We start from the raw sequence: 27,495 nt of genomic DNA, 5'->3' as shown, positions 1-27,495 counted from the left end.
GGGAGCCCGAGTTTACTCTGTGTGTCTGCACCCCCCACCTGAGCTTTTCCATGTCCCGCCCACCTGAGACTAGACCCCAGAAAGGCCAGTGGCAGGCTCGGGGCAGGCAGCTTCCCTGAAGGGAGGGAGGAGCCCAGTGGGCAGGACCCACACATGTGGCCGCACGCAGGCCTGAGCCCCCTAAATCTCTCCCTGCTACCTCCTGGGGAGCCCCAGCCACTAGCCCCATTCCACAAGAGCCTCCATCTTCAAAGGGAGAGTGTGGGCCTCTGTGGGGTGCCCTCTTCTCTCAGCAGCTCCTGAGCCAACGCGAGGCTGGGGAGGCCGGCCTCAGGGAGGCATTGCCCGGGCGACCGGCTCCTCCTAGGGCCTGCCGTGGGCGGCCCCATCGCCTAGCAACCGGGTGGCAGCGTCCCTTGAGCCCAGGCCACACAGCTGCACCCAGCCCTGCCCGGCTCCTCCCAGGCCTGCAGGACCCCTGGGGCCCTGTCCTTATTCCCCAGCACCGGGACAGCCAAAGCTCTGGTCACAATGAACATCGTCTTCTCCAGGTGAGTGGGCCAGCGCCAGCCTGGCTGTGAGGGAGGTGGAAGTCGGGTTTTGAGGCCCGGGGCACCAACAAAGATGAGGGCAGCAGGGCCTGCTGCTTGGGGTGGGGGTTGGGGGTGAGGGGAGCTCTCCCTCCCACGGTGCCTCCACCTCCATCCAGCTCAGGGAAGACAGGGCTTGGGACTACAGAAGCTTCCAGAATCTGGCCTCCGTCTGCTTCTCCAGCATCGCTGCCTGTGTATCTGGAGGAGTCAAATTCATCCCCTTTCCTTTCTCGCCTCCACCTGGAAAACCCCCATCACACCTCAACCCCAACCAGGCCTCCCCCTTCTGTGGGGACCCAGTCCACACTGCCCCGGCCCATGCCATCCCTGCTCTCACAACCTGCCTGCCCTGCCCCGTTCATTTCCACGCCTGGTTCCTCTGAGGTTCGAATTCCAGGCAACCTCTCAAGCAACCAATGTGTTTTTATCTTTTATTTTTTTGAGATGGACTCTCACTCTGTAGCCCAAGCTGGAGTGCAGTGGTGCCATCTCGATCTCGGCTCACTGCAACCTCCATCGCCTGGGCTCAAGCGATTCTCATGCCTCAGCCTCCCAAGTAGCTGGGACTACAGGCGTGCTATTACGCCCGGTTAATTTTTTGTATTTTAGTAGAGACGGGGTTTCACCATGTTGCCCAGGGTGGTCTTGAACTCCTGAGCTCAGGCAATCTGCACACCTCGGCCCCCCAAAGAGCTGGGATGACAGGCGTGAGCCACTGTGCCCAGCCTGGATGTGTTTTTAAAACGCAGCTTCTCAGGCCCCCTCCCAGGGATTCTGGTGCACATGCCTGGGGTCGGGGGCCTAGGAGCCCCAGTGTCTGACTTCTGACCCCTGTGCTGCTGAATCAGGGGCTGTGAGGACCCTACCTGCGGGAACAGAGGCTGTGTCTGGCTGTGTGACCGGTAGCAAGATGCTTCACCTCTCTGGGCCTCAGTTCACTGCATTTTCACATGGTGATACCAGCAGCACCTTGCTTATAGGGCGGTGCATGTGGAGTGTTTTGCAGTGAGGGTGGCAAGAGAGTTAGGGTCTGTCGGGACAGAGGGCTGCTCCTCAGGGCGTTTCTCGAGTCAGGGATTTGATGAGAGGGTTGCACGGGGGACTTTGGTCACAGGGAGAGAGGCAGGGACAGTTACACGCTGGGGATGAGGGAAAGGAGAGGGCGTGAGGAGGCCCAGGAGAGGCCAGGCCTCCCTGGCTGTCGTAGAAGCCTGAATGCGGTGGATCAGTCATCGCGCACCTGCTGCAGGGGGGCGCCGGATTGGGAGCCCTTAAAGGTGAGTTGGGGCCGAACGTGGTGGCTCATGCCTGTCATCCCAGCACTTTGGGAGGCCAAGGCAGGCAGATCACCTGAGGTCAGGAGTTCAAGACCAGCCTGGCCAACATGGTGAAACCCTGTCTCTACTAAAAATACAAAAATTAGCCAGGCATGGTGGCAGGCGCCTGTAATCCCACCTACTCAGGAGGCTGAGGCAGGAGAATTACTTGAAACCAGGAGGCAGAGGTTGCAGTAAGCCAAGATCATACCACTGCACTCCAGCCTGGGTGACAGAGCAAGACTCTGTCTCCAAAAAAAAAAAAAAAAAGGCCAGGTCTGCAGCCAAGCCCGCATTTATATTCCTGCCCACTACTGACCAGCCCAGGCAGATCCCCCTCATCAGCCTCAATGGCCGTGATGCTGCCACCTTGAGTGACAGCCTGTGGCATGTGCGTGCCACACCAGAGGCCGGCTGGTGGCAGCTCCTGTTTTCATAGCTATTGTCTGCTCTTGGCATGACCGGGGCCCTGCATCTCTGCCCAGAATGGCTGCTCAGGTCCCCGCCTCCACAGGGACAGCCAGGTGAGGGTGATGGAGAATACCGTGGCCAACACCGAGAAGTACTTTGGGCAGTTCTGCTCGCTGCTGGCCGCCTACACGCGCAAGACGGCCCGGCTGCGGGACAAGGCGGACCAGCTGGTCAAGCAGCTCATCGACTTTGCCAACTCCGAGAACCCCGAGCTGCGGGCCACCATGAGGGGCTTCGCTGAGGACCTGGCCAAAGTGCAGGATTACCGGCAGGCCCAGGTGAGTGCTGCCGGCCCGGGTCTGGGATGCTGAGGGGTACCCAGGCTCCAATGCCAAGGTCAGGCCTGAGGGCTGCAGGAGCCCTGCTGTGGCCACAGCCAATGGGTGTGTCTCCAGAGACATCCACCGACAATGGACATTTACACCCTTTCCAGGGTCACACCTCCACCTGCAGGATTGAGAGCCTAGGAGGCTTTGCTGAGTCGGATGAAGGGTCAACAAAGCAAGGAAACCCAGGAAGCCAGCCCTGGGGGCTCCATGAACCCCCGAAGGAGACACATCCAAGGCCTATGAGGGCCTCGGGAAGGAACAGAAATCCTGGTGGGGAGTCAGGGGCAAGGAGGCTGCAGGGTGTTCAGGAAATAATTAAAAATAGAAATTCCTGCCAGCCCAGAAAACTCCTCACCATGAATTGTAGAAAAGAATAAAAAAGGGCCAGGTGCTCACACCTGTAATCTCAGCACTCTGGGAGGCCTAGGTGGACAGACTGTCTGAGCCCAGGAGTTTAAGATCAGCCTAGGAAACATAGCAAGACTCCATCTCTAAAATAAATAAATAAGCAGCTGTGGTCCCAGCTACTCAGAAGGCTGAGATAGGAGGATCATTTGAGTCTGGAAGGTCGAGGCTGGGGCCATGATCATGCCTCTGCACTCTAGCCTGGGAGACAGTACAAGACTTTATCTCAAAAAATACCAAAAAACAAAGAATGGAACAGCTTTACAATTGAGTAAGCTTTAAACCAGATAGCAACGCATGTCATGGGCAGTCCAAGAAAGATCGCACAGACAGAAACGGCACTCTCTTCTCCAGGCAGGCAGACACAACCCACGATGCCCATGTTCTCAAGACAGATGACAACTGTCCCCCAGTAAGAGGCCTTGACAACCCCATTTCTCACCAGTACATCCTACTTTCACCTGGTAACGGGGTGGCCACCTGTACTAGCTAATTATCTTTATTTTATTAAAAAAAAAATTTTAAGAGATGGGGTTTCGCCATGTGGCCCAGGCTGGTCTTGAACTCCTGGGGTCAAGCTGTCCTCCCACCTCGGCCACCCAAAGTGCTGGGATTACAGGCATGAGCCACCATGCCTGGCCTAGTTAATTACCTTTAACCAAAGGAAAAATAAAACTTCTCACGGCTCTGTGACAAGCAGGTGGCAGAACTTGGAGCCAGGAGCCTACCCTAAACTCCCACGGAGACCAGAGGAAGACCAGGGCACCAGGAGACAGGGTGCCATCTTCCTTGATGTCTACGCGTTCACAGAGACGGCTCCTGGCCCTCACAAAGACATTCCCGATTGTAAAATTGGCAAGAGGCTGCTTTAGTTTTTTGTTGTTTTTTGTTTTCTGAGATGGAGTCTCGCTCTGTTGCCCAGGCTAGAGTGAAGTGTCGCAATCTCAGCTCACTGCAACCTCCAGCCTTGCAGGTTCAAGCGATTCTCCTGCCTCAGCCTCCCAAGCAGCTGGGACTAGAGGCATGCACCACCATGCCCAGCTAATTTTTTGTATTTTTAGTAGAGACGGGGTTTCACCATGTTGGCCAGGCTGGTCTTGAACTCCTGACCTCAGGTGATCTGCCCGCCTCGGCCTCCCAAAGTGCTGGGATTACAGGCGTGAGCCATCGCGCCCGGCCCCACTGTGACTCTCAATAAAGTCTTGTCCCCAAAGCAAGGCTCAGTTTTCTCATCCGCAAAGTGGGTTTGTCATCGCCACCCTGTGTGGCAGTTGGGAGACGGGGCCAGGGCTGTCGTGTAGAGAGACTGAGCACACACCAGGGGCCTGTCCTGCCCTCCTCAGTGATGACACTCCCTGAGTTCTGGGCCAGGCACCATCTTCCTACTGTCCTGAAACCCTGGTAGGTGCATCCATGACCTCATTTGACAGGTGAGGAAATGAGGCTTCGAGAGACTGAATGCGTTGCTGGAGCCCTCGGGAGGCAGAGCCGGGCCCTGAACCCAGCTCCGTGCCTCCAACACACCGGGAAAAGGGAGGGCACCTCGCGCTCCACCTCCCGCCGCACAGCTCTGGACACGCGGCTCCCGGGTGCCGGCTCTGCTTTATATGCCCAGGCTGGAGGCAGGCAGCACCCTGCGCTCAGATCCCCTGGTGTCCCCGCTCCCCCAGGTCGAGAGGCTGGAGACCAAGGTGGTCAACCCCCTGAAGCTCTACGGGGCACAGATCAAGCAGACACGGGTGAGCCGGGGCACCTCGGTGTGGGTGGCATCCCTGTCTTGCCCTGTGGGATCCCAGGAAACAACCCTCCTCCTTTTCTGCAGGCTGAGATCAAGAAATTCAAACATGTCCAAAATCATGAGATCAAACAACTGGAAAAACTGGAGAAACTGAGGCAGAAGTCACCCTCGGATCAGCAAATGATCGTATCCTTCCCTGGAAGTGGGGCCTGGGGCTGCCGGGCCAGGGTGTCCACTCACACTGATGTCTTCTGAGGTTTTCTTTGCCTGGGCCCGCTGGGCAGGGGCTGTGAAGGGGGCGGACCACCCCAACGGGGCTGCCTGGGCTTAACTTGGTTCCTTAACAGCACGTTTTTCAGTCCCAGGTGAGTGTCACATGTCTGTCTGGGGCAGGCAGAATCACACGTAGGAAATACACGACCTCACAAAACGGCCAGGTAGACTTTACCTGGTCTGAAGCAGGTGTGTGCAGGACCTTGCGCTCAGGTTGGGAAAGCCAAAGGTACCAGTAAAAAGGGGCTCTGGGGGTCTGGAGACCTGGGCTCTGTCCCATTATTGATACCATCAGTCCCTCCATGGGCCTCGGTTTCCCCTCCAGTTACCTGTTTAATGCTCACATCAGGTGGGCACTGCTAGCCTCATCCCCATCGTCTACAGGAGGAAACCAGGGCTCACAGAGACACAGTTATGGGAGCTCGTGGGGCACAGCAGGTGGAAGGGACCCCGCATGCTGTCTGTCTTACTGTCCTGCCCCGTGGGAAAGATGCAGGGGCCGGGAGGTAGAGTGAGAGCTGGAGGAGGGCTAGTCACCGCTGCTGTATGTGTAACTGATTTGTGACTGAGTGTGTGACCTCATCCAAAGAGTGCCCCCCCCCTTTTTTTTGAGAGACAAAGTCTCGCTCTGTTGCCTAGGCTGGAGGGCAAGTGGCAGAGTCTCGGCTCACTGCAACCTCCGCCTCCAGGGTTCAAGCGATTCTCCTACCTCACCCTCCCCAACAGCTGGGATTACAGGTGCCCACCACTGTGCCTGGCTAATTTTTATATTTTTAGCAGAGACGGGGTTTTGCCATGTTGGCCAGGCTGGTCTTGAACTCCTGACCTCAGGCGATCCACCTGCCTCAGGCCTCCAACATGCTGGGATTACAGGCCCAGCCACAAAGAGTGCCCCTTGATGGAGCTAAGTCAGCGGTCCTCACCTGGGGGCATTTCACTCTCTGGCGATGTTTCTGGCTCAGGATTGGAGAGCTCTGCTAGAAAGTGTTAAGTTCTTCCCACTGTTGTGAAAAATGACGACGGACTCTCACCGTTCAGGAGGTTAGAGGTTCACCGTGGGCCCACTGGGCCAAATCAAGGTGTGGAAAGGGCTGGTTCCTTCTGGAAGTTCCAGGGAGAGTCTGCGCCCTCGCCTTTTCCAGCTTCCAGAGGCCACGCACATCCCTTGGCTCATGGCCCCTCCCCTGTCTTCAAGCTGGCAGCCTGCACCTTCCCTCTGTAGTCACATCTTTCCCCTGACCTGCCCGCCTCCCTCTTCCACTTGAAAGGACCCTTTGATTGCACTGCTTGTAGCAGATAATCCAGGATCATCTCCCATGGCAAGGATGGCTGATTAGCAACCTTCATTCCACCTGCTACCCTAAGTCCCCGATGCCTTGGAAGGGGCATATTGACAGGTGCCAGGGATTAGGATGCAGACATCTTTGGGGGGCCGTTTATCCTACCTACCACCTGGCATCCAGTGGGAAGAGGCCAGGGATGCTGGATGCCGCTAAACCTCCCACAGGGCCCCGGACACTAGTGCTGAGCGTGGGGAGTCCTGACCTACACGAATGTGGGTCACAGCCCTGCCCGAGCACCTCCGGATTCTATCCTGGATCCCACCTGGGTCACCCACCGTCTCTGCAGCCATTTATTTGAGTGACAACAGCTTTCCCTTCTTTCCTGAGGGCTTCCTAGATGCCAGCCCCCAGCTGTCTCTTCCCATCTCAGGCGTTTCACAAACACGAAGGTGGTTTTAAGTCCCCATTTTAAAGAGGAATCTGAAACCAAGAAAGGTGACTTACCCAAGGTCACACAGGCAGTTAAGTGGCAAATTTCAAACGCAGCTCCAAGGTGTTTGACTCTAAAAGCCAGATTCTTCATGTCTGGGCTTGGCATGGAGTAAGCGTCTATAGATGTTGATCAAAGGAACGAAAGAGTTAATTACCTAAATGTGTTCCTCATGCAGAAATTAATTATCAATGAACGTGGAGCACCTGTCCTAAGGGCTCAGCAGGTGCTGCTGTTTAATTTCTACAACAGCCCTGCTAAGCAAGTCTCATTACTGTCTTCTGTTTACAAGCATGGAAATTGAGGCTCAGAGAGGGTAAGTGACTTGCCTGAGGTCACACAGCTAGCAAGCAGGTGTGTCTCACTCCAGTGACTGCTCCTTCAGCCGGGGTCCTACTCAGCCATTCCTTTGATGACCCAATTAGCAAGAAACGTCCCTTGAGGCAGGAGAACTGGCCTGAGAGAAGGGTTTAGAGACAGAGTGATTCAGAAAGGTGTCTAAGGGCCAGAAGCACCCCCATGACACTTTCTACGTCTTGTGTCCCTGGGGCCAGGCAGAGACCAGAGTGCAGAGGGCCGCTGTGGACTCCAGCCGCACCACCCTCCAGCTGGAGGAGACTGTGGATGGCTTCCAGAGGCAGAAGCTCAAGGACCTGCAGGTGAGGGTGGTTGGCCGGGATGGGAGGCGCCCTGGGCTGCCTTGTGTGTGTGTGCATGCACGTGTGTACACGTGTCTGTGTGCATGCTTCAGCATGAGTGTGTATGGGTCTGTGTACACGTGTGAGCACTGGAAGGCGTGAGTGAGCTTATGCCCACACAGGCTCCCGGCACAGTTAATCCTGGCCACAGGGCATCAGAGGCTGGTGCTCAGGGCAGCTGTCCCAGCACAGCCGGAAGCCACTGGGTGGCCCTAGGTCCAGCTCCTAGCCAGGAAGAGTTTGTCTGCCTCCACACACACTCCCCACTTCCTCTTCACACAGGATGGCTCTAACCTCTTTTTCTCCTCACAGCTCTAAACCCCCTCCCTGAACAAGCCACGTGAAGGCCCAGCAGCTGGGTGTGGGTGCCTTCCTCCTGCCACCCAGATCCCCACCCCAGCACCACAAAGCCCCGGGCCCAGAGCCCCAGCTCTTACAAAAGGAGCTCAGAGAGGCGGGGTCTTTTGGTACTAGCTGATCGCAGAGATTCCTTCCCCATCTCTTGAGCCCTCGCTAGTCCATTCTCCAAAGGTGCACACCACCATGGGGATTTTATTTTATTTTATTTTTTTTAGATGGAGTCTCACTTGGTTGCCCAGGCTGGAGTGCAATGGTATGATCTCCACTCACTGCAACCTTCGCCTCCCGGGTTTAAGTGATTCTCCTGCCTCAGCCTCCCAAGTAGCTGAGATTATAGGCACGTACCACCACGCCCAGCTAATTTTTGTATTTTTAGTAGAGATGGGGGGAGGTGGTCTCACCATGTTGGCCAGGCTGGTCTCGAACGCCTGACCTCAATTGATCCACCCACCTTGGCCTCCTAAAGTGCTGGGATTATAGGTGTGACCCACCGCGCCTACCCCAGGGATCTCTTAAAAGGCAGGTCCAATTCATCATCGCTGGGCTGAGCACCCTCTGGTGGCTCCCCTTGTTCTAAGGATTAGAACCAAAATCCCTTCCAGGCTCCTGAAGCCCTGGCTCAGGCCTGCGGCCTCATCCTGCCTGCGGCACTCCAAGCTCCAGTGCACAGAGCCCATTCCTACCCGAGGCCTTTGCAGGGTTGTGCCTTGATCTGCGTCCAGTCGGTGCCTCCTTCTCCTTCGGCTTCAACCTCATTCTTTGGGGAAAGTCACCCGGACCCAAGACTGGTCAGGCCCCTTGTTTATACACCCTACTCTGCTCCCACGGGGCTGCCATCCCAGGTGGAATGGTTAATTGTGTATTCAATTCACGTGTTACTTTAACAAGTGTGGAATGCACACCTACTGCGTGCCAGGTGCTGTGCCTGATGCTGGGTACACCATGCCCAACATACAAGGTCCCTGAGCTCACGGAGTTGACACCGTTGGGGCGGGAGGAGATGGACGGATCATGTGGTTTGTGGTGTGCTGTGTGCCATCCATCACATTCATCACGTCGTGGAGCAGAGAAGCCTGTGAGGTCACTGTGTGACACACTGCATGTCAGTGCCACAGGACAGGACCCCTGCCGAATCCCAGCCACCAGGGTCCAGGGCCTGGCACCTAGTGGGTATTCAGTAAATGCTTGTGGAATGAACGAATGAGTGAACGCCTGCATGAATGAATGCACAAGGGAATGAAGCGTCAGTGATTAGTGCTCACGCTGCCTACATGGCAAGGAGAAACTGAAACAGTCGGCAGACGTTATTCAGCACCTGATGTGTCTGGGGCTGGGTGGGCAGCACCAGGGAGCATGGACCACACGGTTCTCCAGGTCAGGGGCCAACAGAAGCACAGCTTAAAAGTGGGAGTGCTTTCAAGTTCTGGGATTAAATTTGTAAGAGATGTGAATCCAAACCATGCCTTGAAAGCCCTTCACATTTCAAAAGAGATAAAAGCAAGAACTTGAGCTAATCATCACCACCTGTCTTAGTCCATCCAGCCTGCGCCAACACAACACTTTAAGCTGGGTGATTTATAAACAACAGAAGTTTATTTCTCACGGTGTTGGAGGCTGGGGAGTCCAAGACCGAGGCTCCAGCAGATTCAGCATCCGAGGAGGGCCTGTTCCCCATGGCTGGTGCCTGCTATGAGTCCGCATGTGGCAGAAGGGGCAGAAAAGCTCCCTCCAGTCTTTTTTACAAGGGCACTAATCCCATTCATGAAAGTGGAGCCCTCCTGCGGATCACTTGAGGTCAGGAGTTCGAGACCATCCTGGCCAACATTGTGAAACCCTGTCCCTACTAAAAAATACAAAAATTAGCCAGGCGTGGTGGCACACATCTGTAATCCCAGCTACTCAGGAGGCTGAGGCAGGAGAATCGCTTGAACCCGGGAGGCGGAGATTGCAGTGAGCCGAGATCACACCACTTCACTCCAGCTTGGGTGACAGAGGGAGACTCCATCTCAAAAAAAAAAAAAGCCTCCTGTGAAGAGATCTCCAGGACCGATTGTTAGCAGGGGAAAAGCAAGCTCAGACCAGAGTGAAAAAGGGAGAAGAGAAGAGAATACTGGCTTATCTAAGGAAACAAGGCGGGAATACACAGAAACTTCTCAACGTGATCTCAGGAGGCAGAGGGGAAGTGAAAGAAGGGAACAGGATGGAGGATGGAGAGCAAGTCTCCTCAGTTGACACTTTGGCATACTTTATATTTATTTATTTATTTACTTATGTACTTAGTAGAGACAGGATTTCACCATGTTGCCCAGGCTGGTCTTGAACTCCTGGGCTCAAGTGATTCTCCTGACTCGGCCTCTTAAAGTACTGAGATTACAGGCATAAGCCACTGTGCCTGACCAATAGTTTTGATTTTTGAACCATGCAAATGTGTTCTCTATGAAAGAAAAATAAGTTTAAAATAACATGTCGAAACTCCCCACCTGGGGCCTGTCCCCACACGGACAGCCCTCCACACCCCCACCCCATCTGCCTGCATCCCAGGCTTCCCTGGGCTCTTTCTCACTGCGATGCTTACATTCTTTGGGTTTCTCTCCCCACAGAAATTTTTTTGTGACTTTGTAACTATTGAGATGGTTTTCCATGCCAAAGCGGTGGAGGTGTATTCTAGCGCCTTCCAGACCCTGGAGAAGTATGACCTGGAGAGGGATCTACTGGTGAGTCACAGACACCCCGTTTCCTATATGGTGGAGTGGGGCAGAGTTTCATTTTGGTTTTGTCTTGATAGAAGTCGTTTTTGTTGGTAACATTTCACAACTTTTCTAACTTTGAAGACTCATGCTGATGAAGCGTTGTCAATATCTGCCCCTGGGTGGGTGCCAAAGTGAGGATAATTTTTCTTAATGCTATTTGGAACATCAACATATTCATCATCACTGGGGTGTTTAAAAACAAATGGATCGGCGGGGGCATGGTGGTTCACGCCCGTAATCCCAGCACTTTGGGAGGCCGAGGTAGGCGGATCACCTGAGGTCAGGAGTTCGAGGCCAGCCTGGCCAACATGGTGAAATTCTGTCTCTACTAAAATACAAAATTAGCCAGGCGTGGTGGTGGGCACCTGCAATCCCAGCTACTCGGGAGGCTGAGGCAGGAGAATCGCTTGAACCCGGGAGGTGGAGGTTGCAGTGAGCCGAGATCGTGCCACTGCACTCCAGCCTGGGCGACAGAGCGAGACTCCATCAAAAAAAAAAAACAAAAACAAAAAAACACAAATGGATCAACAACAATAAAAAGCATTTCCTGGCTGATGCTTGATGTAGTTTTGAAATAGAAAGAAGTGCTTTTTATCCCCTTCTGATCTGGTTAAAATCTAGAATGAGCTGTTTGCGTTATCTGTAACACCCTTCCGCAAGCCTAGTATTGTAAAGCAACAATCAGTTATCATGATTCTTTTCTGTGGGTCTGGGGTTGATGGGGCTCACGTGGGCAGTTCTCAGGTGGAGGCTTCATGTGGCTGCCATTGGTCAGAGGCTGGGGCTGTCTTTTCTTAGCTTTCCTCCCTCATGTCTAGCAGAAGGTGGCTGTCATCTGAGCACAGGACAGGCCACGAGATTTGCAGGGCCCACTGCAAAATGAAAATGTGGGGCGTATCAACAATTACTAAGATCTCCACGACAGCAGCATCAGAGTGCTAAGCCAAGCACAGGGTCCTTCTGGGTGTGGAGCCCCAGGCAACTGTGTGAGCTACACCCCACAAAGCCTGCCATCCCTGGGTCTTCCTCGGGGTCTACGGCCACAGTGGCTGCCCACGGCTTTTCCATGGGGCCTGGGCTTCCTCACAGCAGCTGGTTCCAAGAGGGAGTGTCACCATTTTTTTTTTTTTTTGAGACGGAGTCTCGCTGTGTCGCCCAGGCTGGAGTGCAGTGGCACTATCTCGGCTCACTGCAACTCCGCCTCCCAGGTTCAAGCCATTCTCCTGCCTCCGCCTCCCGAGTAGCTGGGACTACAGGCGCCCTCCATCACGCCCAGCTAATGTTATGTATTTTTAGTAGAGACGGGGTTTCACCGTGTTAGCCAGGATGGTCTTGATCTCCTGACCTCATGATCTGCCCGCCTCGGCCTCCCAAAGTGCTGGGATTACAGGTGTGAGCCACCGCGCCCGGCACTCAATCACCTTTTATGACCTAACTTCAGCAGTAACCCAGTGTGGCTTTGCCATATTCCATTTGTTAGAAGTGAATCTCTGAGGCTGCCTGTATTCAAGGGGAGAGGAGTTTGATTCCAGCTCCTGATGGGGGAAGCATCAGATCATCTGAGTTACCAGTAAGCCTTAAAACTACCATGAGGTTTGATGCAGGTCAGAGGGGCTCTCTCGCATTCACTCACTTCACAATATTCTTTTTAGGGGAAAGGGGGATCTCGAATCCTGCTGTTATCCTGTGTGACGATGGTCATGTTACCTGGCCTCTCTGGGCCTCTCCCATCTGTAAAATGGGGTGATAATGCCCACTCACCGGGCTGCTGTAGATTATGTGAAATAAGAAACAGGAAGCTCCTGGAGAGGACCGTGGAGTTCCATGAGCATTAGCTGTCTCGGGCCTTCTCGTCCCCACCGTCTTTCCATCCCACTCCCCCAACCCACGCTGTGTTTTCCCATCGGATCCCACCCACCCTGGTCTCTCCCCGGCAGGATTTTAGAGCCAAGATGCAAGGAGTTTATGGGCATTATGACACTCGGCTGCTTGCCAACACCAGCCCCCCTCCATCTGTTCTTCAGTCTCTCGCCAGCCAGGTGAGCGTGTGGGTGGGTGAGGGGTTACACCTAAAATGTCGTGCACGGCCTGGAAGGCCCGTGGTAGTAACCCCAGGGATTAGAGGAGGGTGGCTGAGAACTCGAATTTGAAATGGGAGGCTGAGGAGGCAGGGGTGGTGGGAGCATGGAGGGCTGCCCGGGGGTCTGACCAGAACTTTGCCTTGAAGTAGAATGAAGCTGGGCACGGTGGCTCATGCCTATAATCCCAGCACTTTAGGAGGCTGAGGTGGGAGGATCACTTGAGGTCAGGAGTTCGAGACCAGCCTGGCCAAAATGTTGAAACCCCCATCTCTACTAAAAAAAAAAAAAAAAAAAAAAAAGCAAAAATTAGCCGGGTGTGGTGGTGTATGCCTGTAATCCCAGCTACTTGGGAGGCTGAGGCAGGAGAATCGCTTGAGCCCAGGAGGCAGAGGTTGCAGTGAGCCGAGATCGTACCATTGCACTCCAGCCCGGGTTACAGAGCGAGACTCTGTCTCAGGAAAAAAAAAAAAAAAGTAGAATCAATGAAGCCACGTCACCCAGTGTGGTAGGCCACACGGTCCCTGCCGTGGCTGCCATGGGTCCTGAGCACTCCCTGGAGGCACTCTGAGGTATTGCCACTTGAGAAACAGAGGCCCCCAGTCAGGTCCACACCTCCATCCCAGCCCGTGGGCCCGCGGGTTCCAGAATCCAGGGTTCCTCAGAGGTTAGGGAGGTGATTAGGTACATACATTAGATGTTACCTTACAGCCCCAGGAAGGCCTGCCATCAGGTGCATTTATATTTCTGCAGGGAACTCTGCAGGTCCAGCTGAGTAGGGCAAATGAAGACCCTGAACATCCTCATGCCAATCATGGCAGGTTTAGTCTCTGTGAGTGGGTGGTTAAGGGGCAGCCAGCCCACTGTGTGTGTGGGCAGGGTGGGCATCTCATGCTTCCAGGACATTCTCTCTAACGACGTAGGGTAAGTGCAATCCCAAGCCGTTTAAAATAATCCCAGACTGCCTGGAGGCTTTGTTCTTATTTTCTGATTCTTTTTTCTTTGTCTTTGTTGGATTGTGTTAATTCAAAGACCTTGTCTTCAAGCTCTGAATTTCCTTCTTCTACTTGTTCAATTCTGTTGCTGAGACTTTCCAGAGCATTTTGCATTTCTGTGAGTGTATCCAATGTTTCCTGAAGTTTTGATTGTTTTTCTTTATGCTATCTATTTCTTGGTCCGAGCCCACTGCTCCCGGCGGTGTGACCTTGGGAAAGTCTCCTAGCCTCTCTGTGCCTTAGAGTCCTCGCCTGCAGAGTGGCTTAGAACAGTAACCTCCGTGTAGGGCTGTGCTGAGTATCAGATGAACAGATCTATACGAAGCACAGAAAACCCGGCCTGTTGCGCAACAAACACTTGAGACTTGTTGCTGCCATTATCATTACTGATGTTGCTGTCGTTTTATTATTATTATTATTTAGAGTGCTCAGAGCACCATATGGAGCCCAGGAAAAGAAGGGGAGGAGAGTGAGGACAACTCCATGGAGGAGGCCCCCGTGGAGGACCTCAGGGCACTGGGGCAGGGACCCCATAAGAGAGAACTGCCCACAACAGTCAGAAGAACTTAGCTGGCCTTGGATCCTCAGGTGGGCTCTGCTGTGTGCCCTCAGGCAAGCCACGTGTCCTCTGAGCCTCAGTTTCCTCATCTGTACAACAGGGCCAATATCACTCACTTCACAGGTTGCTCTGGGGGATCGCTGTGCCTGGCATATAGTAGGTGTTCAATAAATGCCCTGTGACTCTCAGCTTGATCCCGGCTCTCTCATTCTGCCTTTAGTCTGGGGGCTTGGGTGGGACGTGCCTGCCCCTGTGTTCATGTTGCAAGCACAGTAGATTCCTTTCCTGGGCTGCCTTGACAAAGCACCACTGCCTGGGCAGCTCAAACCACAGAAAATCACTCTCCTGTGTTCTGGAACCCAGAAATCTGCGAGCAAGGGGTCAGTAGGGCTGTTTCTTTTTGGAGGCTCAGAGGGAGCACCCATCCCAGGCCCCCTCCAGCTTCCAGTGGCTCCTGTCCTTGGCACGCCTGGGCTTGTAGCCACATCCCCCGGACCTGGCCTTCCTCTTCATGTGGTGTTCTCCCAGTGTGCACTTGAGCCTGTGTCCAAACCTCCCCCTCCTATAAAGGACGCCCATCATCAGAGGCCCACCTTACTCCAGGATGGCCTCATCTTGACTAATTATATCAGCAAGGACCCCATTTCCAAATAAGGTCACATTCTGAAGTATGGGGGCAGGTAGGACTTCAACATAGACCTTTGGGGGCAAAATTCAGCCCGTAACACATGGACGTGATGTGCAGGGATGCTCTTGGGACAAAGATTGTCACAGAAGTCCACAGAGGTCAGAGGGGGATGGAAGTGTAGAGAGGGTTGGGGTGTGTGGACTGGGGGGCTGTCTGCTGGGGCCCCTGGTGCACAGCCGGGGAGCTAATCCTCTGGACCGTCTCTGAGGGCAGCCGAGATGAGCCTGCTCCTCCCAGCCTGGCACGACTTGGTGACATTGAGGCTTGGTGGAGATGTCTGGGTCCTAGAACTGGCTTCCGTGGCCAGGCACGGAGGCTCACACCTGTAATCCCAGCGCTTTGGGAGGCCGAGGCAGGTGGATCACCTGAGGTCTGGAGTTTGAGACCAGCTTGGCCAACATGGTGAAACCTTATCTCTACCAAATATACAAAAAATTAGCCAGGCGTGGTGGCTTGCGCCTGTAATCCCAGGTACTCGGGAGGCTGAGGCAGGAAAATCGCTCGAACCAGCAGGGCAGAGGTTGCAGTGAGCCGAGATCGTGCCACAGCACTCCAGCCTGGGCAACAAAAGCAAAACTCCGTCTCAAAAAACAAACAAGCAAACAAAAAAAACTGGCTTCCGTGCTTCCCATGAGTGTGGCCATCTCTGTCCCTCAAGGCCACACACTGCCCAATGGTCCCGGGTTGGAAGGTGCACCTGGAGCCTGCAGATACAGGCTGGCTTCACTGATCCCAGCACCCCCAACGGGCCACCCCCGGTCGGGGGTCCCAGCATCTCAAAGCCAGAAAGCAGCTTGTCTCTGTTGAGACAACGGAAGCCAGTGAAAGTTCCAAATGAGGCTAAATCCTCCATGAGGAGATGGAACAGCATAGAAGCTTCTTTCTACCAACTTCCTAGGTAGGATCACAAACCTTCCATCCTGGGGGGGCGCCTGTTCCAGCTGTGGAATCCTTTCGAGGGCCTGGGGTGGGGCATCCACGCTGTGGGGGGCTCATCCCTGGCTAGCCTCCTGCATTCTGAAGACCTTGGCTGGGAATGGTCCACCCGGTGGCCCCTCATGCTGCCCTCGTAGATAACCGCTGAGCTCTAGAGCCAGACAGCCCCGAGTTCGCATTCCCCACGTGGAGTGCCCTGGTTTTTTTCATTAGCAAAGTGAGGGACACACATCTTTCTCACAGGATCGAGGTAGGGTTGGCGTCTTCATCACAGTGATTTTTTTGAGACAGAGTCTCACTCTGTCACCCAGTGGTGCGATCTCAGCTCACTGAAACTTCTGCCTCCCAGGTTCAAGCGACTCTCGTGCCTCAACCTCACCTGTAGCTGGGACTACAGGCACCCGCCGCCACGCCTGGCTAATGTTTTGTATTTTTAGTAGAGGTGGGTTTTCGCCTTGTTGGCCAGGCTGGTCTTAAACTCCTGAGCTCAGGCAATCTGCCCACCTCGGCCTCCCAAAGTGCTGGGATTACAGGCGGGAGCCACCGCGCTCGGCCCACGGTGATTTTCATTACCCAAGATTTGGCTCCACGGCACCTCTTGGGGAATCCTTGACTCCCCCAGGCCAGGATACACACTCCAGAAATAACTTGACTCCCCCAGGCCAGGATACACACTCCAGAAGTAACTAAAACTTTCTAGATGTTCTATATAATCTGTATATTCCATCTATGAATGCTTTAGAGTGTATATTTGTATACTTTTATACGCATATACCTGTGTGTACACACACATTTGCTTATATGTAAATGTCTGTGTTTTCAGAAACCTCAGCTGAGTCCCAGCTCTGTGATAGTTTCTGAAGGACAATGACCTTGCTTGTCAGGGCTGTGGTCCTGGAATTGGTGGTGCCAATTTCATGTAAGGTCGGCTGGGTTGGGGGTCTCTCCCCTTCCCCTTTGGCCCCAGTGCACCAAAGAGACCAATGGTCCCGGAGTACAGGTGGGACAATTGGCCCAGAGCCTTCCCTGTCACTCCTTCTCCACTGGTCACTTGGGAACTGGCAAGAAAACTCAGAAATTCTCTCTTTTGGGGCCCTGAGGAGGCAGAGGTGGGGGTGGCCGCCTCCCACAGGGATGCCCTCCCTCCCTGCCTTTTTTTTTTTTTGAGATGGAGTCTTGCTCTGTCACTCAGGCTGGAGTGCAGAGGCATGATCTCGGCTCATTACAACCTCCGCCTCCTGGGTTCAAACGATTCTCTTGCCTCGGCCTCCCAAATAGCTGGGACTACACGTGCCCACCACCATGCCCAGCTAATGTTTGTATTATTAGTAGAGACGGGGTTTCACCATGTTGGCCAGGCTGGTCTCCAACTCCCGACCTCAAATGATCCACCCACCTCGGCCTCCCAAAGTGCTGGGATTACAGGTGTGAGCCACCGCACCCGGCCGAATAGTACATTTTAATTTATTCCTATAAAAATTAGAAGAGCTGGGTCCTTTTTCTTTCACTAGATAGGGAACTTCCTGCCCCTGTCTGAAGGGCAGCTGTGCAGGAAGAGGCCTGCCTGCATTTCCCACAGGAACGGCCTAGGGCGTGTGATGCTCTTCTTCCTGGTCCACAGATGAAGAAGCTGAGGCTCAAAGAACCATCTGGCTAAGGGCATACAGTCAGCTGCCGGGAGGTGGAACTGGATCCAGGCCCTTCCAGGTCCTGCCCCGAGCTGCCCAAACTCTTTGGGGTCTTCGCTGCCTTTCAGAGGAGTTTCTCCCCTCCCTGGAGTTTGCCTCCGAGTCTAACCCCTCACCTCCTGCGGGAGGAATCCCCCAACACCAGAGAAAAAGCCCAGATGCGACGCCCCAGGGCTGTGCACCCACCAGCCATGCCCGCCCCTCCCTGTGTGGCTAAGAGGGGGCAGATGGAGAGCCAGGGACGTGGAGGCTGCTCCATTCTTCTCTGCCTGGAGTGGCACTCCACTCAGGCAGCTGGGGGAGGGGGACCTTGCATCTCAGCCCTGGGGTCTGGGGGACACCCCTGTGCCCTGCTCCTTCCCCGGGCGTGAAGGGGACCCCTGCATCTCAGCCCTGGGGTCTGGGGGACGCCTCTGCGTCCTGCTCCTTCCCCGGGCGTGAAGGGGACCCCTGCATCTCAGCCCTGGGGTCTGGGGGATGCCCCTGCGTCCTGCTCCTTCCCAGGGCTCATTGCCCATCTGTTTAGGCCAGAGTATCAGAATGTGGCTGTGGACTTCTTACAATCAGAGAAAAGGAAAACCCCCCAGATGTTTGAAATACTTTTGTAGAACGGAGTTGGAAGGAACTGATGCAGGCGCCCTGCTCGTGTCGGATAGGGGCTGTGGTCAGGGCCACTGACCACCCCAAAACCCCCAATCAAAGAGGTAAGGTGGCTTTGGCTCTGAGGGGTAGGGTCAGGTGTCCAGGTGGAGGGGCTCAAGGCGCTGGTGGAACCTGGGCCGAGACCCAGTCCAGAAAGGGGGTCCCTCATTCATGAATACAGACTACCAACATGGCCAACGTGGCTGCTCTATCTGTTAAGACCCGGGTGCTCAGCCCGCATGGGAAAAATGTCTATTTGGCCTTAGAGAAAATGGTTTCCTTCTGAAAAGCTATGGGTATCACTGAGAAGATTGCAAATTCTGTAAAAAGTCCTCATGGATGTGTTAAAAATTAAACAGACTTTTTTTTTTAAAGTTAGTTTATTTCAGTTTCTACCTTCTGACAACTCAAGGTGCAATATATACACATGTTTTTCTTCACAGCAAACACCTTTGATTTTAGCACTGTTTTGAGATCTTCACCCTTGAAACTTTCTCAACCTTAAAACAGAGTTTGTAGAACATCACCGAGCGGGACACAAGATTGCAAAAATGCAACAGAGAAGATACTGGTGTCACTGCACGCCACTTGGGGGCTACCAACAAGGTAATGTCTGGATGTGAGCACCGCGAGTCTAGGAAAGAGAAAGCAGAGGGCGTGTGCATGGGAGACGCCACTGATAGTTCCAACGGGGGCCACCAGGTTCAAGAAGGCGGCAGGTCAACCGTGTTCTGACACATTTACATGTTTTAAGGGGATCCATGTGTGTTGTCTGAATTTCTAGCTTTTCCTAGTGTTCCAACGTTTGCCTTCTCTTTCTCCACGTGTCCACCCAGAAGACCCTAAGCAACAGCCCCAGGCTCACCGGGATGGCAGGGACTCCTCCCCAACAGCCAAAGCCAAGCCAAGCTGTCTCTTGCAGGGAGATCTGGAGTCCACCCCTTAGGGCTGCACCTCCCAGAGTGCATGCGGTCGTCCCCCACCTCTATTTCATGAGCAAATCATCTAGGATTAAGGAGGGAGCGGGCGCAGCCCCCCAGTTCTAGTCAATGCACAGGGGATTTACTGACAGGCATCCCCTTTTTAAAGTGCAAAGTCCCTTATAGCGCTGCTCAAGGGAGTTCAGGCTGCAGTGCACTCAGGCTCTGACTGTTTTGTCAGGTCCCAGAGTCTGCAGATAAAGTGGGGAGCTGGGTTCTCCCCAAATCGTACTGTCCTGCAGGAGGGGTGTAGAAGGGAAGTTGGAGTAAACAAACCCAGCCCATCGTCTCTCCCCTTGGATATGGTGAATTTTTCCCTTTCCAACAGTAACTAAGAAACCCCACCCCCACCCCCAGCCCCTGTGGGAGCGCTGTCCCACTGAAATCCCGTGGCCACGTGCATCCCCAGGCACAGCTACAGGCAGCGCCGCGCTCCCAAGGACTCTCACTCACTGCACTCTGCAGGCTAGAGACACCCACACAAACCCAATCCCTTGCCAGCACCAGAGGCAGGGCTCCCACGGCGGCACCCATCCTTGCGAGCCCATCGGTCACAGGATTGATTCCGTCCCTTTCCTGGAGAGCATGTGATACCCAGGCCCAGGGATGCACGGGGGACTGAGGCGCAGAAGGCAGGCCCCCTGAGGGCCTGTATGGAGGGCGGCTTCCGGGCCAGTGTTGGCCGCAGGAGAACAGTCTTGATGTGCTTCTTCCATTTGGTGTCTCAGGCACCAACACATTCCTGTTCCTGGCCCGCGGCAGCAAGGGTTCCTGGGGTGCGTGGCCTGTGTGGCTCCGGGAAGCCCTGCTCTGTCTGTGGTCTTAGCCTGTGCGAGCCAGGCGGGGTGCAGCTGGCATCCGACTCCCCTTTCCTGTGGACGCAGCTGGGAAAAAGTGAAACCTATCTCCAAGAATCATCAACATGAATACACGATTTACAGGACAAGGGAGTGAGACGGCTGCATCCTAAGAAAAATGGTTCAGCAGAAGTGAATGGCTCAGTGGGACTGGAAACGGGACAGGAAAAGGAGTGAGAACGACCTTGAGTGAGAATCTGGCCGTTTCGCCTTGTGGCTGCGGAAACTGAGGAGGGACCAGCCTCAGAACACCTGCCTGCTGGGCCCAGAGGGGGCTCTCCCTCCCCGTCCCTGAGGCTGGGGCTGGGCCACTGCCACCCTGCGAGCATCCCTTCCTCTGCAGAAAGGGACCCTCTAATTTTTAAAGTTCTCTTTCTCAAGCTCCACACTGTTCTTGGAAACACTACTGGGCTCCCTGGCTGTGCTGTGGTCTGGTTTTAGGTAATTCAGTAACAAAGCTGATCTAACCACACGGGCCTAGCTGGATCCTTCCTAACTAAAAAGCCAACAGAGGCAGGTGTGATGCCTCACGCCTGTAATCCCAGCACTTTGGGAGGCTGAGGTGGGGGGGATCACCTGAGGTCAGGAGTTCGAGACCAGCCTGGCCAGCATGGTGAAACCCCATCTCTACCAAAAATATAAAAATTAGCCGGGCGTGGTGGCGTGCACCTGTCATCCCAGCTACTCAGGAGGCTGAGGCAGGAGAATTGCTTGAACCCGGGAGGTGGAGGTTGCAGTGAGTAGAGATTGTGTCACTGCACTCCAGCCTGGGCAACAAGAGCAAAACTCCGTCTAAAAAAAAAAAAAAAAAAAAAATGCCAACAGATAGTGGGACCCAGGAAGGTCAGGCCTGTAGCTTCCAGCCCTGGCTTCCAGCTAAGGAACCCCAGTTAGACTGAAACCTTTCACAAACTCTTTACAGTGTGAACCTGCATTCCTCATGTCAGGGGTCTGGAATACCAAGTGCTCCAGGGTGATAAGGTAACCCACGCGGAACAGCCTAGGGAAAAGCGAATCTCACAGCTCCAGCCTTCTTTCCTCACAACTGAACTCCTCAGCATTACTGGGCTGGGAGGAGTGAGCGAGAGGCCTGTTTGGTTTCAACTCACAGGAAGGAAAGAAGACGAGACTTGGTGATGTCTGTGATTCCCCCACTGGGCCTCGGTGCTGGTTTTAAACCCAATGCGTGTTGCTTGGATTAACCTGAACATCAGGATTTTAATTTGGGTACAGAGCTCAGAAACTGGACTCTCCCTCTAGCCATTTTTTGGAAATTTCAGAGCTGTTTGGCCCCCTTTCTTTCTTTTGGCAATAGGAAAATCATACAGTCTACCCCATTTCACTTACAGAGAACTTACGACATCAGAATTGAGTTCTCTGGCCTGTGGTTAAACATGCGCATGCACAGGGCAGATGCAATCTATTACCACGGCCCCTCTTAGACATCAATGTTGCTAAAACTGTAACAAAGGCTAAAAACATACCATGCTGCCTGTCAACATGTCCTGTTTTCAAAGCAGGGAGCTTTTCACTTGTGTGAGTTGTTTGCATTTTGGTTCACTAGGATTGGCACAGCCCTCAAGGTCGGGCGGCAGAGTGCCTGCAATGGCCCCATGGATGACAGGCCTTCGTGCTCCTGGTTTTGGGCATTCTGCCTGCTGGGACTGGGAACCTCTCCCTAGGAAATCACCTGACACTTCCTGAGTTTACGGAGGGGCCACCAGAGCTCTCCTACACCCAGGTGGCCCTGGGTGTGCCCCTGGTGTGACACCTCCCCACGCAGGGACCTTTGAGCAGTGTGGCTGGGTCTGCTTGCTCTGCACCACAGCCCAGCTCATGCCTGCTCTGCCCAGGTCCTGGGGGAAGAGAGGAAACCTTGGTGGCAGGTGGTAAGCCCTGTCCCAGGCACACTGAGCCTTCTCCAAGCAACCCTGGCCAGAGCCACTGTCAGCCACAGCCGGAAGGAGACCACAGGCAGCCTCCAGAGCCACTGCCTGCTCTGCTCACAGCACAAGGGGCTGTCTCTCCGGCATCCTGTGTGGATGGAGCACAGAGGAGACCTTCTCTGTCAGCCTTCCTCCAACTCTGAGGAGCTAGATCTACAAGAACAGGTAGTAAAGGGGGAAACAAACAAACAAACAAAGAAAACCCCAACCCTTTCCTCCCCTGAAATGGCTATTTCAAGAGTCTATGTGGAGAAAAAAGTGTCAAGACCATTTCTGAAGTTAAAGTGCTTGGAAAAAAGCCCAACGAAGTCAGCGCTGCCTTTCCTTCCAGAGGCTGTGCACAAGCTCTCCAGCGTTCCCAAGAGAGTCTCAGAATCAAACAAAACTTTCATACAAAAATCCTGTACATACAGGGGTAAGTCCTGTGGGCACCGCAGAACAAAGTCTGAATGCATTTCAGCTAACACGAATAATGCATGACTAAGAACGCTGACGACGAGGCGGCTGAAGGGAGCGCCTGGACAGTCAGCCCTTGAGTGTGGCCTGAGTTTCACCGGTGCAAGGAGGAGAGCAGTGCCCTGGAGCCGTGGCTGGACGCTGCAGGAGGTGTGTATTATCTGCAGTTGGCATCAGAGCGAGGGGTGTCCACACAACCCTCGCTCTGACATTTCTCTAAATGGATTCGGTGGAGACATGCCCGTTGGGGCCCAATGATGGGGGAAGGGTCACCCCAGCCTGCACAACTCCCCAGCCCTGACCCAGCTCATGGCGAGCACACTGGCAGCATGGTCACGGTCTGGCCAGCGGCATCGCTAGGCTGAGATCACTCATGCACCATGCAGTCAGGGGCCCTGAGCCCCGGCTCCCCCGTTCTGCAGTCTGGCAGCATATGGTCCAAATGCATCAGATGACACCACGTTTCAGATAATGCCCCAGACACACATTCTGTGATCCAACCAATCTGCAGCACAGACTGTTGTCTCTAGAGAATGTTCCGTCTCTGGAACATTCCAGGGAGGCATTCCCCGGAGGGAAACCTTCCAAGCAGTGGCCGGGTAAGTGACTCTCAGGCGTTTCTGTGGTACTCACAAACAAGACGGGACTTATCTGACCGCATGTCAGAGGAGGTAGCCAGGAAGGGCGGGAGGGGAGGATGGCAGGAGGAGGGAGAGCCCCGCGGGCCTATTTCGCAGTCAGGGACCACGGCAGCGACAGGCAGGAGGCAGGGGACCCCAGGCGGCCTAGCAGTGTCCACGCACGGTGAAACAGAAGGCTCTGGACCCAGCATGCAGGTGTTGGGGTCAGGCCCCGGGCCCATGGGCTGGCCTGGAGTACCTGGTACAGACCCACAGAAGAGAAGGGCCGTGGTTCCCAGGCAGTAAGTGCGAGGTGAAGGGAGTCTCTGCAGAGGCTGGAGGAGCTACAAAGGTCTGGTGGGGAAGGGGCCCAATGCTCAGCGCTTAGAGGCAGAGGCCACGCCACTGGCTTGCCCTGCACGTTGCACAGATCTGCTTCTCTCCAGCCACTGTCACTCCCAACTCAGACTTTCCTGCCTTGTCTGGAATAAAGAGCAGCACTGTTTGCTTTCAGAAAGGGTGGTTGTCTAGTGGCTACTAAAGAAACTTCTCTTTCCTGTGCTTCTTGCGAGGGACACACAGCACAACGCTGCTTCGTGACCATGGAGGCTTCTCTGCTTCAGAAGGGAGCTGTCCGCCAGGCGGGCGCATTTCAGACGGTCTGTGTGGTCTGCCGCGGACACCTCGGCACTGCTGTGACTCTGGCGGAGACACACAGCTCCCGGGCCGTCTGCAGGCACACACACGTCCCTCTGGTGGGAGCCAGGTCTTGCTCCAGCCGGCCAAGAGCATCCTCTACACCGCACCCACTCTCTCCCTAACACAGGCGTTTCCTCCTCAAGGTTCCCGTCACTTCCTGTTCCTGCCCCACAGCGGGAGACTGGGGAATAGTGAGGACCAGCCACAGCCCCACGCTGAGAGGGCTGGATGGGAGCCGCGTGTGCACCCATTGCAGGGAAGGTGGCCCACGGCCACCCACCGTGAGTGGCAGCGCCGGCCCTCCACCACTGGGTGTGCCGGCTGCAGCCCCACCTCATGGCTGTCCTGCCTGCATCCCTTGCCCGCCCCCACCCTCGCCAGCCCTTGGCCCACGATGGCCCATGGAGTCCTTCCCCTCCTCCCTCTTGGTCTCATCTCACAAGCCTGGCACTCGGGGTACAACTGGTCACCTCGGCTTTAGCTGTGTGACCCAAGGGACACTTTGGCACATGGATGGGGGTCGCAGACACAGGCAGAGGAGATGAGGGAGGAACAGCGGATTCTTCTAACCGCTAGTTCTAGGGCAGCAGGAGTGGCTCTGGGTGCTGCTGGCTTCATGCAGGTCATCGGGTGGGGTGACGGCCGGGCGCTGGGCCCGGGAGAATGGCACATGGCCTCAGTCCTCCTGCGGAGTGCGACCTCTGGGGCCTACTCAGTGGCCATTTGCTCAATGTGGTCACTAAGCAGCTTGTATTGCTCTGGAAGAGAAAGTGATGTTATTTCTCAGATGAAAGACAGTGACAGGGACAGGTATATCCTGCTCTTGTCACTCGGACAGGGACGAATCGGGCCTCCCTGGGAGCAGGGCTGCAGCTCCTGAACCACACTGCCTTCTGCAGGCCACACGGCTTGCGTGCTTCAGGGCAGGGCTGTGCCATGAGGGCGCATTGCACACACAGCCTCTTGGCCAGCACGCCGCCTGTGGGGCAAGCAGGTGGCTGGAAGCAGCCCTCAAAACTGGGAAACGCACCTTCTTATGAAAATGGTGTCATGGGGCTCAGCCCCTACAGCCTGTGAAAGGCAAGGGGCAGTCAGTCCAGCCAACCTGGGGAGCGGGAGAGGTGGCAGCATCCCCCTTGCCCTTTGCTAGTGAGGTGGGGCTGCGAGCAACATTCTGAGGTCGTCCAGCAGCCACTGGCACTCTCATGCCTCCTGAGGCCACTCCACCACAGATCCCTTGAATTAGGTAGAGAATGGGATTCTCTAAAGAATATGGGTCAATCCGTACCCACGCCTAAGTGTAAGTCCTTTTCGATGAAGAAGAACCAACGCCTGTGGCAGATGGCGGGGGCACACAGGGACGGGCCCCCAGCAAGGGGGGCGCCAATGTCACAGCAACTCCCTGCTGTCACAGAAGCCAGAGATTCTAGAAAAACCTCAAAACTCACTCCTCACCACCCTTGTCCCCCGATACTCATGATGGCAGTGTGGTCTGAGAAAGAAAAGGATGCCACGTGACAGCCATTTAGAAGGGGGCAACTTGGGGCCAGAGTTTGGCTCCGTGCAAGCTGAGTCCCAGTGCCGCGTCCCCCTTCTTCCTCTGCCCTGACTGTGAACACCCAGGCTATGGCCCCAATGCCCGCAATCCCATCTAGCAGAAATGGATTCCAAATGGAACGAGAGGTGTCCTGTGCGTCTGTCTATACAGACTGGGGAGAAAGGAGGGGCCGTCTGCCGAGAGCTCAGCACCACGTTTCCGACTGCAACACGACATGCCTTCTGGCAGTGCAGAAGCGCCAGCGGGCACAGCACTGGCTCCTGACCCCAGCCCTGCCCGCCTCCTGCCAGCAGCCTCCCCCAGACGCACCTTCATCCAGGTTGCCAATCACAGCCTGCTTCTTCAGGAAGTCATTGCACAGCTTCTTGTTCAGTCCAAAGGCCAGCATGTTGTGCGTGAATGTGCTGCAGGAGAAACCCCAAGAGCGTCACCCGCTGGCCTCCCAGGGGAAAGGGCCGGGGAGCTGGGCCCTTGTCTCTGGGACGCCCACCATGGCCTGCCTGGAATTGTCAGCAGAAACTAAAACGCACTGCTGCCTAATTAGCCACCAGCAACTCTCACTGTGGCACTGTGGCCACCAGGGGTCGTGTAGGAGGCGGATTAATTATGAGCTGGCATGGAGGCCAAGTGTGATGAACCCCATGCCTCAGAGCAGGCTGACATCACACCCCAGGGTGTGATACCAGGTGTGACAGCTCACAGGGTGGGCCCTCCCCCCTCTCCCCTCCCGCTTTCCCACTCTGGCCCTTACCCCAGCTGCCCGAAGGTGATGTTCTCGTTGAACCGGAGGCTGTCGTCGCGCTCCTCCTGGGTCATGTGGCACCACTTCTCCCTGCAAGCACAGGAGGTGACAGAAGCGGGGCTCAGATGGTGCTGTCCTTGCCCCAGCTCCTCGCCCTGTTCTGACCCGCAGGTGCTGGCGGCACCCATGTACGGCCCCCACCGGGCACAGAAGGGGGTGCCTTCCACCGGAGAGCCGTGTGCTGGGCCTTCCACAAGGCCTGCCGGGATCCTCACACCGCGCTTGGGGTCCCCAACATTCATCTCACTCTTCATAAGATAAAGAGACGTGGAAATGAAAGTGCTCTTTATGGCCCTGAAGGCACGGAGCACCACGCGGCTATCCAGGCACTCTACAGGCAGCGAGGGTGGCCCCAGAGCCTTACTACGGTTGGAGAGTGGGGTCTGGGCCTGTCCTCAGGGGAGAAACCTCCAGAGAGGGAGGGGACCTGCCCAACGTCCCAGGACAGCGGGCCTTGGTGGCCCAGGGAACGTTTTTAGACTCACACCTGTGTCTCCTGACCAGCCTGATGGGCCAAGCGAGGTGCGTCGTCCTGGGGCCAGCTGCGGATGGCAGCTTCCACAGAGGCTGAGGGCGCTGAGGGCCACACTGTCCCCTGTCTGCAGAGGGCTGTGCCCTGCTCAGCTGCGGTTTCTCCATGTTGGCTTTCTCGAGGCCCTCAATGCTCTCTCTAGTCCCCTCCCTAAATAACACAGACCAGGCCCCCACGCTTCCCACCAGTCTCTTTGACCGTGACCCTGTGAATGCTATGGACCATGGTGAAGACAGCACCCAGGCGTGAGAACAAAGTGCTGAAAACCCAGTAAGACGGCATCGGCCGAGGTTTGCACGAGCTTCAGGAGCCGGCGGGGACCCTGATGCGTTCTCCGCACAAGGCCTGAAGTGGGAGGGTGTTCTGAGCGTTCACCTGCTGCGTGCTTTAGACGGGAGTGCTGTTAATCCCTCACCTGTCCAGGGCAGAACAAGGGGGCTCCCCACCCCTCAGTGCCACAGAGCTTTTCTGTGTTGCCGGCTCCTTCCCCTCCCTCCAGGGCCTGGGGCCTCCCCGACCCTTACACAACTCCCTGGACACCACGTCCATCTGAGAAGCTACCTGCAGAAGCAGCTGCGAATGTGGAGACACTAATTTGAGCCCCTTTCCCCCTAAAAAGAAAACTGGATGGATGAGTCTGACTAAAATAAGGTTGAGAGGAAGATCAAAGAAAGGGGAGAAGGATGTATGAGAGGGTGAGAGGTTGGGATCATGGAGAAGCCAGAGGAAGAGAAACAAAACAAAGGAACATGA

The 27,495-nt window shown here is 55.1% G+C and overlaps 2 protein-coding genes across 13 annotated transcripts in view, besides 7 other annotated features; one reads left to right on the top strand and one right to left on the bottom strand.

Moving 5' to 3' along the window:
- Positions 1 to 411: 411 nt before the first annotated feature.
- Positions 412 to 14,526, top strand: CIBAR2 (CBY1 interacting BAR domain containing 2). 4 transcript variants are annotated; one of them, XM_017023198.2, is made up of 10 exons: positions 412 to 551; positions 2,424 to 2,658; positions 4,785 to 4,853; positions 4,937 to 5,038; positions 5,212 to 5,217; positions 7,453 to 7,557; positions 10,557 to 10,670; positions 12,644 to 12,745; positions 13,538 to 13,616; positions 14,203 to 14,526. In XM_017023198.2, coding segments are annotated over exons 1-10 (834 nt in total). In that variant the 5' UTR covers positions 412 to 531; the 3' UTR covers positions 14,205 to 14,526. The 4 variants fall into 4 exon arrangements, with proteins under 4 accessions (XP_016878687.1, XP_011521365.1, NP_001353849.1 ...); XM_011523063.2 differs by having other exon boundaries at positions 13,538 to 13,708; NM_001366920.1 differs by lacking the exon at positions 13,538 to 13,616.
- Positions 7,508 to 7,567: an enhancer, noted in NCBI's record as "active region_11263". NCBI's record gives its function as "activates an Ori minimal core promoter by ATAC-STARR-seq in GM12878 lymphoblastoid cells {active_cell/tissue: GM12878}" and the evidence as "EXISTENCE:reporter gene assay evidence [ECO:0000049][PMID:35858748]".
- Positions 7,578 to 7,637: an enhancer, noted in NCBI's record as "active region_11262". NCBI's record gives its function as "activates an Ori minimal core promoter by ATAC-STARR-seq in GM12878 lymphoblastoid cells {active_cell/tissue: GM12878}" and the evidence as "EXISTENCE:reporter gene assay evidence [ECO:0000049][PMID:35858748]".
- Positions 7,678 to 7,727: an enhancer, noted in NCBI's record as "active region_11261". NCBI's record gives its function as "activates an Ori minimal core promoter by ATAC-STARR-seq in GM12878 lymphoblastoid cells {active_cell/tissue: GM12878}" and the evidence as "EXISTENCE:reporter gene assay evidence [ECO:0000049][PMID:35858748]".
- Positions 10,302 to 10,371: an enhancer, noted in NCBI's record as "active region_11260". NCBI's record gives its function as "activates an Ori minimal core promoter by ATAC-STARR-seq in GM12878 lymphoblastoid cells {active_cell/tissue: GM12878}" and the evidence as "EXISTENCE:reporter gene assay evidence [ECO:0000049][PMID:35858748]".
- Positions 14,527 to 18,653: 4,127 nt separating the features above from the next.
- Positions 18,654 to 27,495, bottom strand: part of KIAA0513 — a 66,436-nt gene continuing 57,594 nt past the window's right edge. For 6 of the 9 annotated variants that reach the window (XM_047434984.1, XM_047434982.1, XM_017023912.2 and 3 more), the window contains 3 exons: positions 26,160 to 26,240; positions 25,718 to 25,812; positions 18,654 to 24,608 (listed from right to left, as the gene is read on the bottom strand). In XM_047434984.1, the coding sequence (XP_047290940.1) occupies positions 24,559 to 24,608; positions 25,718 to 25,812; positions 26,160 to 26,240 (226 nt within the window). In that variant the 3' untranslated portion in view covers positions 18,654 to 24,558. The remainder of the gene's footprint in view (positions 24,609 to 25,717; positions 25,813 to 26,159; positions 26,241 to 27,495) is intronic. The other 3 variants (NM_001388359.1, NM_001286566.2, NM_014732.4) reach the window with 1 other exon arrangement.
- Positions 21,341 to 22,164: an enhancer, noted in NCBI's record as "H3K4me1 hESC enhancer chr16:85124326-85125149 (GRCh37/hg19 assembly coordinates)". NCBI's record gives its function as "activates a minimal SCP1, AML or CMV promoter by ChIP-STARR-seq in naive and primed H9 embryonic stem cells {active_cell/tissue: H9 hESC(naive and primed)}" and the evidence as "EXISTENCE:reporter gene assay evidence [ECO:0000049][PMID:30033119]".
- Positions 23,814 to 24,639: an enhancer, noted in NCBI's record as "H3K4me1 hESC enhancer chr16:85121851-85122676 (GRCh37/hg19 assembly coordinates)". NCBI's record gives its function as "activates a minimal SCP1, AML or CMV promoter by ChIP-STARR-seq in primed H9 embryonic stem cells {active_cell/tissue: H9 hESC(primed)}" and the evidence as "EXISTENCE:reporter gene assay evidence [ECO:0000049][PMID:30033119]".
- Positions 25,980 to 26,029: a silencer, noted in NCBI's record as "silent region_7799". NCBI's record gives its function as "represses an Ori minimal core promoter by ATAC-STARR-seq in GM12878 lymphoblastoid cells {active_cell/tissue: GM12878}" and the evidence as "EXISTENCE:reporter gene assay evidence [ECO:0000049][PMID:35858748]".

This window comes from Homo sapiens, chromosome 16 (genome assembly GCF_000001405.40).
Source record: "Homo sapiens chromosome 16, GRCh38.p14 Primary Assembly".
NCBI classification, from domain to species: domain Eukaryota; kingdom Metazoa; phylum Chordata; class Mammalia; order Primates; family Hominidae; genus Homo; species Homo sapiens.
This window is presented reverse-complemented; position numbering and strand designations above follow the sequence as displayed.